Source organism: Homo sapiens, chromosome 1, assembly GCF_000001405.40.
Source record: "Homo sapiens chromosome 1, GRCh38.p14 Primary Assembly".
Lineage (NCBI taxonomy): Eukaryota > Metazoa > Chordata > Mammalia > Primates > Hominidae > Homo > Homo sapiens.
Window position 1 is genome coordinate 167,097,203 of NC_000001.11, and position 12,832 is coordinate 167,110,034.

Genomic DNA, 12,832 nt, shown 5'->3' on the forward strand with positions numbered 1-12,832 from the left:
TTGAAGGCTGTATAGCTTTTGCAGACTGTGTCCTGTTTATGAAAATTTGGTGGCTCTGGGACTGTTTTAAGGTTTATGCCATGCAAAAGCTTTTGGAAGTTCCTGGTTTCTTTGAAAATACGACCCTTTCAAAAACTCAATAGGTTTATGATCTATGTAGATTAGACAAATCCATGTGTTACTAACCACACTCAAAGTTCTTTCCTAGATATAGTTTTCAATCCTGATTCATTCATTTGCCTTTTTGTCTCCGTTTAATGATAGTTATCTTGGGAGGTTATCTGAAACTGTAAATTTGGGTGTGGAGTCCAAGATGCATGTTGTAATTTGTAGTGTAATTGTTAGAAAGTTTTGCAGTGGAGTGTATAGCTAACAAGCTCATGAAGGGTGGATAAAATAATAAAATATAATCAATCTAAAAGGAGAAAAGAAAGTAGAGAAAAAGAATACAGAAAAAGAACAACTGTCTCCACAAGAAACTATAGGTTAAAAAAAAAAGAAAGAAAAAGAATAATAAGAAAATAGTAGGATGGTAGATTTAAGCTCAAATATATAAATAACTACATTAAATGTAAATAGACTAAATACTCCAATTAAAAGACAAAGATGGTCAAACTCAATTTTTTTAAAAAGGCTACATGCTGTTTACAAGAGACACACCTTAAAAATAACGATATAGGTTTGTCATGGTAGCTCATGCCTGTAATTCTAGCACTTTTGGAGGCTGAGGTAGGATGATTGCTTGAGGCCCCGAGTTTCAGACAAGACTAGGCAATATAGTGAGGCCCTGTCTCTACAAACTTTTTTTTTTTTTTTTTTTTTTTTTTTGAGACGGAGTCTCGCTCAGTCGCCAGGCTGGAGTGCAGTGGCGTGATCTTGGCTCACTGCAACCTCTGCCTCCAGGGTTCAAGTGAGTTTCCTGCCTCAGCCTCCAGAGTAGCTGGGACTACAGGTGCAAGCTACCCCACCCAGCTAATTTTTGTATTTTTAGTAGAGACGGGGTTTCACCATGTTGGTCAGCATTGTCTCGATCTCTTGACCTTGTGATCCCTCTGCCTCAGCTCTCAAAGTGCTGGGATTACAGATGTGAGCCACCACGCCCGGCCCAAACTTTTTTTAAGAAATTAGCCAGGCAAGGTTTCACATGCCTGTAGCCTCAGCTACTCAGGAAGCTGAGGCAACAGGATTGCTTGAGCCCAGGAATTCAAGGCTGCAGTGAGCTATGACCATGCCACTGCATTCCAGCCTGGGTGTGAAAGTGAGGCCCTGTCTCAAAAAATAAAATAAGGATATACAAAAGTTAACAAAGAATAAAAAATTTATACTACACTGTTTCAGTTACTACTGCTCATAACTTCAAATTTTAGTGGCATAAAATACCATTTTATTATGTTCATAATCAGGAGCCTGGATGAGGCACAGTGGGGTTAGCCTGTCTTTGCTCCATGATGTCCAAGGTCTCAGCTAGAGAGATTTGAAGACTGGAGATGCCTTAAGGCTGAGGGTGACTCACAGAGGCATCTTCACGTTTGGCAGTTTATGTTGAAATTTACCTGGGCTTTTGGCCGGAATACCTAAGATAGTCCCTCTATGTGGGTTACTTTGGGCTTTCTCTAAGCATGGTAGCTAAATTCCAAGAGTTGCATCCAAGAGAATAAGATAGATGTGTATTAATTTTCATGAGCTAGCCTCAGGAGTTACATAGCACCACTTCTGCTGTACTCTGCTGACACAAATGTCCATGAAGTTTCAAGGGGAGGCAACATAAACTTCATCACTCCATCAGAGAAGTACCAAGGTGATATTGTAAAGTAAGCAAAAGCAAGCCAGTGAAGCAGATTTTAAAGTAATCATTACTAGATACAAAGAGACAAAAAGAGACACTTCATAATGATCAAAGGTTCAATTCACCAAAAAGATAAAATAATTTTCAATTTCTATGTTTAATAACACAGCCTCAAAATATATAAGGCAAAAAACTGACAGAACTGAATGAAAAATTAAAAGCCACAATCTCCCTCAACTGTATGTATATTTTTTAAAACTATCTCAGCAACTGATAAAATAAAAAAAATCAAAAGAATCATTTTTAATAAGAATATCAAAAATTATCAAGAATATTTGGATAAAACAATAAATAAAATTAACCTAATGAGCATTTATAGAACATGCACCCAACAAGTACAGGATACACATTCTTACCATGTACACATGGAGCATTTGTCAAAATAGATCATATACTGGGCCATACATATATCAACCAATGTTTAGTGATTGAAATAATACAGAACATGTTATCTGAACATAGAAGAATAAAGGTAGAGATCAATTAAAAAATTTAAAATCAGGGATTCAAATTAAAATCACAATTCAATACTACTACATACTCACCAGAATATCTCAAACTAAATACCAACAATAGCAAATATTAATGAAGATGTGAAGCAATCAAAACTCCTATTCATTGCTGGTGAGAGTGTAAATTAGTACAACCATTTGGAACTATTTTGCAGTATCTACTAAAGCTAAACATATGGTTGTCCTCTGACCCAGCAGGCTCACTCTTCATAAATACTTAACAAAAACAACTACATATGTGCACCAGAAGATAAATACTATAATGTTTAGCAACTAATAGTCATTAAGGATATAGGATGTATAAACAACATGATGAACTGTCCAATTAGCAGTAGGCTAGATAAATAGAGTCTGGCATATATATTTATTTTAAAAACTGCCTGTCTTGGTCTCTTTTCTGTTGCTATAACAGAATACCTGAGACTGGGTAATGTACAAAGAATAGAGGTTTATTTGGCTCATAGCTCTGGAGGCTGGAAAGTCCGAGATCAAGTGGCCACATTTGGCAAGGGCCTCATGCTGCCTCATAACATGGCAGATGGCATCACATAGCATGAGTGCATGTGAAAGAGGAGAGCAGGCATGTGCAAAAGAGACCAAATGCAAGAGGCAGCCTCACTTTATAACAACCCCCTCTCATGGTAACTAATCCAGTCCCCCAAGAGCAAGAACTCATTCCCATGAGAAAAGCATTCCTCTCTCTTAACAACCTAATCACCTCTTAAGACACTACCTTCCAATGCCACCCCATTGGAGACCAAGCCTCAACATGAGTTTTGGTGAGGACAAACCATAGAATTGCCCTAGGAAATACGTATTTTATTAACTGCCTATCACTTTGGGGTGATTGAGCTTCTCAGATTGTTGATTGAGGAAGGCAAATAACAAATATGACACAAAGGGGCAGGGGTGAAGGGAATCACCGAAAGGGGAAACAGGACGCAGGGAAGATTAATTCTGCTGGTTTCACAATTTTACATCACCTTAGCCTACCACAAGACAAAAGCACTGAAGCAAAGGCATTCAGTCCTTAGCCTTTTCAGCAGCCATTCTCCCTTCCTAGGCAAAAACAGGCTCAACCTGAAAGACCCACTTTACTGTACAATGGGCTGAACTTCCTTAAAACATGGCCCCACATCCAGAGCAAATGTTCTCTGGATTTGCAGTGACTGCTGCTGAATCCTGTTGGTTTTAATGCGCTTCTTGGTTTGTGTATACTACTCAGCAATTGATTTCTAGAAACTTATCCCAAATCATCTAGCCCTTTTCAGAAATTCTCAAGGAAGGCAAACATGTGGTGGCACTTCATAGGCTATCTCTTCCCACAATGGCCTCATAAAATCTGAACTCTAAACTATTACATTTGCACAGGCTTTGGAGCTATCATCCAATCGATCCCACTTTACTTCACAGAACCACACCTAAACCAGTTCAGATGAATGAGTCTACAGTGCTTTTTAAAAAATGAAAACAGAACCTATAGACTTGGAGAAAATATTTTCAAATTACATATCTGATAAAGAACTTCTGTCTAGAATATATTTTTTAAAACTCCCACAACCTACTAATAAGGAAACAAACAACTCAATTAAAAAGCGGACAAATGATTTGAATACATATTCACCAAAAATGATATGTGGATGGCAAATAAGCACATGAAAAGATGCTCAAAATCCTTAATCATTAGGGACACACAAATCAAAACCACAGTGAGTTACCGTTACATTACTATTAAAATATCTGAAATTAAAAAGATTGACGATACCAAATGTTGGTGGAAAATGTAGAGTACTTGGGACAATCTTATATACTGCTGGTGGGAATGTAAAATAGTCCATTTTACAGTTTTTCAGTTTCTTACAAAATTAAACATACATCTACCTAAACATGCACACCTATATCTACATGATCCCATCATTCTACTCCTAGGTATATACTCAAGAGAAATGAAGGCCTATGTCTGCAGGGCACAGTGGCTCATGTCTATAATCCCAGCACTTTGGGAGGCTGAAGCAAGTGGATCACCTGAGGTCAGGAGTTTGAGACCAGCCTGTCCAACAGAGTGAAACCCCATCTTAACTAAAAATACAAAAATTAGCTGGGTGTGGTGGTGGGCACCTGTAAGCCCAGCTACTTAGGCTGAGGCAAAAGAATCACTTGAACCAGAGAGGTGGAGGTTGCAGTGAACCAAGATTGCACCACTGCACTTCAGCCTAGGCAACAGAGTGACAGTCCATCTCAAAAAAGAAAAAAAAAAGCCTATGTCTATGCAAAGACTGGGACATGAATGTTCATAGCAGGTTTATTTGTAATAGCCAAAAACCTAAAAACATCCTAGATGTCCAATGACGAGTGAATGGATAAACACATTGTGTCACATTTACACATAGGAATACTATACAGCAACGAAAAGAAATGAACTATTGATTCATACAACAACATGGATGAATCTCAAAATAATTACACTGCTTGAAAGTCAGACAAAAAAGGGTACATACTATATTATTCCATTTATATAAAATTCTAGAAAATGCAAACCCATCTCTACAGTGGCAGAAAGCAGTTTAATGGTTGCCTGGGGGGCATAGGGCAGGGAGGGGGTGAGAGGGAGGGCTTAAAAAGGGGCACACGGGATGATGTGACCTTGGTTGCAGTGATGGCTTCACGGATGTATACATATGTCAAATCTTGTATATTTTAAATTTGTGCAGTTTGTATATCAATAATAAAGCTGTTTTTTAAAAATATATATATATATAAAAGATAAATAAAACCCTCTTTTAGGAGGCAGTATGATACTGTGGAAAGAAATTAAGTGGTGCAGTGGAGACCAAAATTGAGGTCAGACCTGCCCTCCTACTTATAAACCCTTGAAAGCTTGCTTAAATTACTTAATCAAAAAAATCAGAATACCAGTTTTACCCAGGAGTAGAGAATAAATAATACAACATATATAAAGGTATACTAGGTATTTGATAAATGCTGGTTCTCATACCTTTTCCTTCCAGAAAAAGATATCTGACAACAAAATTTTTTCAGTAACTCATCATGTCAAGAAATTTTTATTTAGCCAGAGTCCCACACACACTGATTAAGACATCATGCTTCTCTAATTCTGCCATGAGCAAATCCTGTATTCTAAGAAGCAGAGTATCACTTACTGATATTTGTCCCCATCCTGAACAGTCCTCCTTGTACTTGATAAGTGCCTGAAATTCCATCCTTCTGGTTTTATGACTTCAGGTAAAGGTTTGAGTCTTTAAGTTAAATTTTAAGTCTTCTTTAAGTTAAATTACGCACCAAGTCAGCAAATACCTCACCACCGGACTCTTAGTCCTTGTACTAGTTTCCTAGGGCTGCCACAGCAAATTACTACAAACTAGGCAGCTTAAAAACAAGAGAAATTTATTTTCTCACATATTGGAAGCCAGAAGTCTGAAATCAAGCTGGTGACAGAGCCACACAGCCTCCAAAGACTCTAGGGAAGACTCCTTCCTTGTCTCTTGCTCGTTTCTGTTGGCTACGGGCGTTTCTTGCATTGTGGCAGCATAATTCCAATCTCTGCCACTCCTTCAAAAGGCCGTCTGCTCTGTCTTCTCTTCTCTTATAAGGACACTTGCCACTGGCTTTAGAGTCCATCCTAATTTAGGGTTATCTCATCTCAAAAGCTTTAACTTAATTACTCCTGCAATGATCCTTTTTCCAAAAAAGATTACATTCCCAGGTTTTGGAAGACATACCATTTTGGAGGGCACCGTTCAACTCACTACAGCCCTATATCCAGCCCCTAGGAAACAGAATTTTACTCTTTCCTGTGGAACTAGAACAGAGCCTTGCAAAACTTCACCCAGTGATCCAAACAGCCACTAGCAGCCAGCCAAAATTAGCAGGGATGTACCCTGCTTGCTGTCCTGGCAGGGAGTCTTAACATTTCAAGTCTCATCTGTAAATCTCATCCTAGGGTGAATTAAGAATCTGAGAAAGGGGTGTAGAAAATGGATGGGGTATCAAATCTTCATTTTTGCCTGAGTTAGGCACTAACTTCAAACACCTTAAATTCAAACCTAGCCACTATGAGTCACTCTCTGGAAGAAAATGGGCGGTTAGAGATTCATCCATCTCACAGCTAGGCAAATTTCCCTAAGTGATTCATGAGTTGACACTGAAATTTAAAACCCCCTGTCAGTGGGGGAGCTTGGTGGGGACTTCTCCCTTACCTATAGTCTCCGTCAGGCCTTCCCAGTCACCTAAACAAATACAGCCTAAGAAGTAAGTGCACAGCCGGGCGCGGTGGCTCACGCCTGTAACCCCAGCCCTTTGGGAGGCCGAGGTAGGCGGATCACAAGGTCAGGAGATCGAGACCATCCTGGCTAACACGGTGAAACCCCGTCTCTACTAAAAATAGAAAAATTAGCCTGGTGTGGTGGTGGGCGCCTGTAATCCCAGCTGCTCAGGAGGCTGAGACAGGTGAATGGCATGAATCGGGAGGCGGAGCTTGCAGTGAGCCGAGATTGGGCCACTGCACTCCAGCCTGGGGGACAGAGCCAGACTCTGTCTTGAAAAAAAAGAAGTAAGTGCGCTTGTAATGCAAACCAACCTCTGCCCGTCCCCCCACCCCCCGTCTCTTCCTTCTTAGCTATTATCATCAGTTTTCTCTTCTTTCCAACTAAAGGAGCAAAGGCATTTTTATCATTCTCTTGTTCCTGATTTGAAGAATGGTTTCTACTTGACTTTATATCTTTCCAAGTCAAAATCCGTTCCTTGCTTTGGCTTTTAGATCTGAACTTTTCAAGACTTCGCAGTTTTGTAGAACTGCTTGGTAAGGCTCGATCAGGCTTCCTGTCACGGTGACACTGTTTCCCTTGACCTTCAGTGAATTTCTTTAACTGTGCTCTCCTTTCCCTTCCTGTGGCGAGCAAGCATCTGTGGTGGGTGTGGTAGGAGACAGGGGCATGAAGTGTAATTTCTCTGTGTTTTCGTTATGTTTCTTTGGGAAATGGCTCCTCCTGTCCATCCTTTCTCCTTTACATTTCTTTTTTGGTGAAAATTTCTCCACCTCAGCTCTTTCACTAAGCCTGTTGGAAGCAGCTTGCTAAAAATCTATTTTCTTCCGTTTACTGACTTCTCTTCTTCCTTAGAGCCTGAACTTTGCCTGTGTGTAGTCATTTTCTCTGAAGTCACTGAAAACTTAGAGCTCAGAAACCTTGTCCTTTTTTGCAAAAGCCCAATCAAGAAAGACACCTCCTCCTGGGCCTCTACCTCCATTTCACTTCCAAGGGACTCCTTGACAGGAAGTGATCAGCTATAGGAAAGTCTGGGCTGAAGGACCCCAATTCCACTACATTCCGTGTCTGGACAGCAGGCAACTAGTTTAAAGCAACGGCTTTCAAACTTTGCTGACTATAATCTGCACTATGACAATGCCATTTGCATCTCAACTCAGAGATATATACACATATACATAAATTTTTAAAAGTTCACAAAACTACACTTATCCTTACAATGGGTGGTGCTATTCCCTTTCTTTCCCCTCCTCCTTCCCTCCCTTTCTTCCTCTTTGCCTTCCTTCCCTCCCTCCCTTCCTTCCTTCTTTCCTTCCTTCCTTCCTTTTTTTCTGTTTCCTTTTTTCCTTTCTGTCCCAGATGCTGAACACAACCCACTGAATTGATTTTATGATACATGGATTGGTCAGTCTGCAATTTTGAAAAACGCAGGTCTAAAGCAAGCTGCACCACTCTCCGGCTTTTGGTTAGGAAGTCCATCAAACTCCCCTTTATTGTTCCTCTTTCAATTCAGCCTCAAGGCTTTTTAGCAGCTGCTTCCTGATCCTATGATGAGGTATGTATCGATCCTAGGTCCTTTTTTTCCCTGCCTGTCTTTCTTGAACAGCCAGCCCTCACTGCTTTCTAATCAGGGTGTGAGTGTCATCTCACTCCATCTCAGGTATGCCAGTTGGGACACAGACATAGTCATAAATCAAAACCTCTAGGGCTGCCATCTCACTGACCTTGCAAATATAAACAGGGCCAGTTGTTCAGGTCTCTCCCTCCTTCCTCTTTTCTATTTCTGCAGTCCTCCTTCTCTGTGGAAAACAAGCGTCCGTTTTAGGTCTTGCCCCCACACCTTTCTTTATTAGACTTAATAAACCGTGTCTGTGGCAAACAGTTTTATGACTATTAGGTTTACATCTCCCCCTCATGGCGGCTGACTCGTAAAAGCATTTGTAATCTACATTGTACATTCCACACTGGGTAATACGGAGCAGAGTTTAATGTTGCTCACATTTTAGCATCAGCAGCCAAAGACAGAAACATCGTGGGGCTGAGGAGGAAATCTGTTCTTCATCCCCCCTCTTTTCTCATTTACAAAGCTGCCAGCTTCTCAAGAGTATACCGGGTAGGCTCTTCACGTATGATTTCTCAGGTTTGCTGACTCATTAGCCGAACTTCAATCTTTACCACCCATTAGAAGGAAAGATGTTTCACAGAGATTTCTCTTTTCAAATTCTCCCCTATCAAACCCACAGCCTCAGAGTGTAGGTATATTTAGGACAGATTCTTGATTCTCAGTATTTGTTATTTAAAACCAAATCCTCACAATTTAAAGTCAACGTTATTTAGGGAAAGTGGCAGGATGGAGTGCTCCCGGATGGATAATCCCAGGCCAGGATCCTGGCAGTCCCACCTGCTGAGTTCCTTGCAAGGCCTTTCTGCACACCTGACAGGTAAGGGCGCCTCCTGTGTCTATTTTCAGTCTGTATCAGTTGCTTGGAATACTGATTAGAGATGTGAGAAAGCCTCTTTGGGACACAAAGGAACAAAGAAAACGGACCAAGTAGGAGAAATGTGGTGCTGTGCAAGGAAGAAGGCCTTGTAATCCCTACAGTAATACAATAATTCTCAACATGGATCTGTTTGGTTTGGTTTTGCCCCAAACCTCATTTTACATAATACTGACCCTTAATAAATAAAATGATTAATGTTTTGTTAATAGGAGTATAAATAGTATTAATTACTGAAAAATAAAATAATAAAACTCCCTTAATAAATATTGTTGAAATGGAAAATATGACTGCTCACATTTATATAAAATCTGGGGCTTTGATTCTAGTTTTATGAAATATTGTCATATGAAAACTAGCTGTCCTGAACCCTTGGAGCTCAGAATGTCCACCAGGTCTGTTATAGAGGCAAGGTTTGCTCTACCATATTGGCATTATTTTGTTGTTGCTTCCCATCTGTAACATATTTGCCTCAGTCACTGATATTTATAGGTTGTGTATCACTACTGAGGAGAAGAGTGCCTAAGCATTTGCTTAAAACTTGCTTCCTAGCCCTTGGAATAGCACTATTCCTGTTATCTATTGGTGCTTAACAAATTACCCCAAAACTTAATGACTAAGGACAATAATTTCATTTTGCTCCCCTTTTTGTGGGTCAGGAATTTGGACAGGACTTGACCGGGCAGTTTTTCTGTTTCATATGGCATCAGCTGGAGTGGCCTGATGGGCTGCAAGGTCCATTTCTAAGAGGATCATTCACATGGTTGGCTGTTGGCTGGGAGCTCAGCAGGGACTGTTGACCAGTGGCCTTTCTAGCTTGGTGTTCTGGGGGTAGTCGGACTTCTTATATGGCAGCTCAGGAGTTCCCAGAAAAAGAGTGTCAAGACCCAAAGAAGGAAAGCTTCCCTCAAGACGTGGGTTCAAAAACTGATCAATTATCACTTCCACCATGTTGTATTCTATTGGTCAGAGTAGTCACAGAGACTACCCAGATTCTAGGGCAGTAGACATAGACCCCACCTCTCTAGGCAAAGAGTATCACAGATCTGGGGTGACCATTACTCTACCATAAGAAAAAATTACTAATTGCTAACATAGGCCTCAGATATTGTATACCTCTTGGCCTCTGAAGGGCAGAGAGTAGGCATGGAGAGGACACAGCCAAGATCCTGCTTTTGCTTTGAGACTTACTACTGGTGTCCCAGTAAAATGATGAGCATGCAGCAAACACTTGATAGATCTTATTGCTGATTGTTGTAACTGCCACATTCCCTTAAGTATAGTTCTATTGAAGACATATTCAGTCAGTGAGTCAGAAATTATCTATGAAACATTTACTGTGTGCCAGACATTCTCCTAGGTGCTAGGAACACAATGGTCAACAAAATACCCAGTCATGGTCCTTGCCTTCATAGAGGGTATGATCTAGTGTAGGAGACCAATATTTATCAAATGATTTCATAAATAAGTGTAAAATCACATCTGATAGAAGTGCCATAAAAACAGGTGTATGGTGCAAGATCAAGGAAGACTTCCCTAAAGAAGGGACGATTGAACTAAAATCTGAAAAATGAGGGAAGCAGGAGAGGACTAACCATCAGGCTGCAGAAATGGACTTCTACAAAGTCCCTAGGCAGAGAGGAACTTGGTGAGAATGACAGCCAAAAGAAGACCAGTGTACTGGAAAGGAGTGAGCCAAAGAGAACCCAGTGCAAGTTGAGGCTGGGGAGGAGGAAGGGCCAGAGACTACAGGCCCTTGGAAATCATCAGGTTTGATCCCCTAGGTTGTATGTGGACACCTGGCCCAGCCTTACCATGGTCCATCCATTCATCCAGACATCCAGCTCTTCATCCATCTACCCATCTGTCTGTACATCCACTCACTCAGTCATCAAACCCTGACTGATCACCCTCCATCTGCTAGAGACACAGGTAAATAAGACCACCTAATCCACCTAATCTGTACCTTTATAGAGCTCACTGCCACCCCCACTAGGTGTTTAAGTCTTTACTGTCTTCACCAAGTAATGAGATTCCAAAGATCTCTCTAGTTTTAACACCAAAAGATAATATCCCATGAACTTTACCCTTAATCCACCCCCACTCCCCAATAACGTTTGTTTGAAAATGCATCTTTTCGTCACAGAAAATGCTTGGTGCTAGAATGGAAATGAGCCAACACAACCGCTATCGTAAAACTCTATTATCTTCACCAAACAATGAGATCTCTAAAGGCCTCTCTAGTTTTAACATCCAAAATAATTTGGAAATGAATTAAATTGAGTTGATTAGAGTTATGGGGGGGAAAAATGGCAGATAGGAGGGAGGACTAACTTGCAGCTCCCACTTGGATGAACAGAACAGCATATAGAGACTCACATCATGAACCTTTGCTCCAAGAACTACCACAGGAACATACCAGGAAAACTGAAACAATTCACAGACCCTTTCAAAGAAGCAGCTTGCTTCTGCAAACATCATGAGATAGCCAAAAAACTGTGAATGCCCAAAGTGTGAGAGGGGGAAAGTCTGCCTCCAAACACACATCCTCACTGGGGAACCTGAAAATCCAGATCACAGGAGAAGGATTTAACCTTTCCTAGAGGTAAAATGAATTTAGAGAGCTGAGAAACATATAAAAGTAGAAGAAGCAGCAGGAAGAGCCCTGTAAGCACTCTCAGTCCCCAGGGAAGCCATTTCTGACTTTATCTCACAGGGGTCCTTGGGGAGGGCAGCCAGGGGTATTGGGGAAGGACCACAGGGAGAAGGAAACTTCCAGCTGAACTTTGTAATAATTTCAACCAAGTGTAAATTGTCCAGGGCAGAATGGGGATGGGGGAATGGCAAACAGGAAGTGCAAACAAGAGCACAGAAGCCACCACAGTGGGGTAGTGGCAGGGCCTGAAAGCTCTGCTTGCTTTCTCCTCAGGGAGGCTTATAGCCTGGGGCAAGATCTCATCCCTGCTTACCGGCTGCCTAAATATAAACTCAGTGCTGTTGGTGGGGCACAGTGAAAGTGAGACTGGCCTTGCTGGCTGTGTGGGAGCTGGGTGAGGCACCCACTGCCAGCTTTACCCCCACTTCCCTGGCAACCTGTATGATGCAGCAGAGGCAACCACAATCCCTCTGGGAACATAACTCCTTTGGCCTGAGAACCACACCCTCCATCCCCGACAGCAAGCCCCATCCGAGGAGAGTCTGAGCTCAGACACACCTAACCCTGCCCCCACCTTATGGTCTTTCTCTACATGCCCTGGTAGCCAAAGACAAAAGACATAATCTCTTGGAAGCTCTAAGGCCTCACCCATCACCTGAGAAACCTGAATATTTATCCAGAAGACCTTAGGACAAGTTTGTTTCCCCCCTATACTACCGCAGCTGATGCATTCCTGAAGGTGCCACCTCCTGGCTGGAGGTCAACCAGCTCAAGCCATTACAACAACTCATAAAAGAACAATGCTGCTCTAAGAAAGGAGAAAACAACAGCTAATTCTATCATCTGTAACATCCTGGCTAACCAGAGGTCCTGAGTCTGTCCACATGACAACTTCACTGCTACCATAACCAGCATTTGAGAAAACGAGTGCAGTAAACAAACCTATAACCAAGGACCCTCACAGAGTCCATTTCACTCCCCTACTACCTCCACTGGAGCAGTTACTGGTATCCATGGCTGAGAGACCTGAAGGTCGA

At 41.5% G+C, this 12,832-nt stretch overlaps 1 protein-coding gene across 2 annotated transcripts in view, besides 1 other annotated feature; it reads left to right on the plus strand.

The window, feature by feature from the left end:
* Window positions 1–12,832, plus strand: part of STYXL2 (serine/threonine/tyrosine interacting like 2) — a 35,091-nt gene that overhangs the window by 3,128 nt on the left and 19,131 nt on the right. The gene's annotated exons all lie outside the window — the stretch shown is intronic.
* Window positions 6,410–6,704: a silencer, noted in NCBI's record as "tiled region #8817; HepG2 Repressive non-DNase unmatched - State 22:ReprW, and K562 Repressive non-DNase unmatched - State 21:Repr". NCBI's record gives its function as "represses a minimal TATA promoter and a strong SV40 promoter by Sharpr-MPRA in HepG2 and K562 cells {active_cell/tissue: HepG2 | K562}" and the evidence as "EXISTENCE:reporter gene assay evidence [ECO:0000049][PMID:27701403]".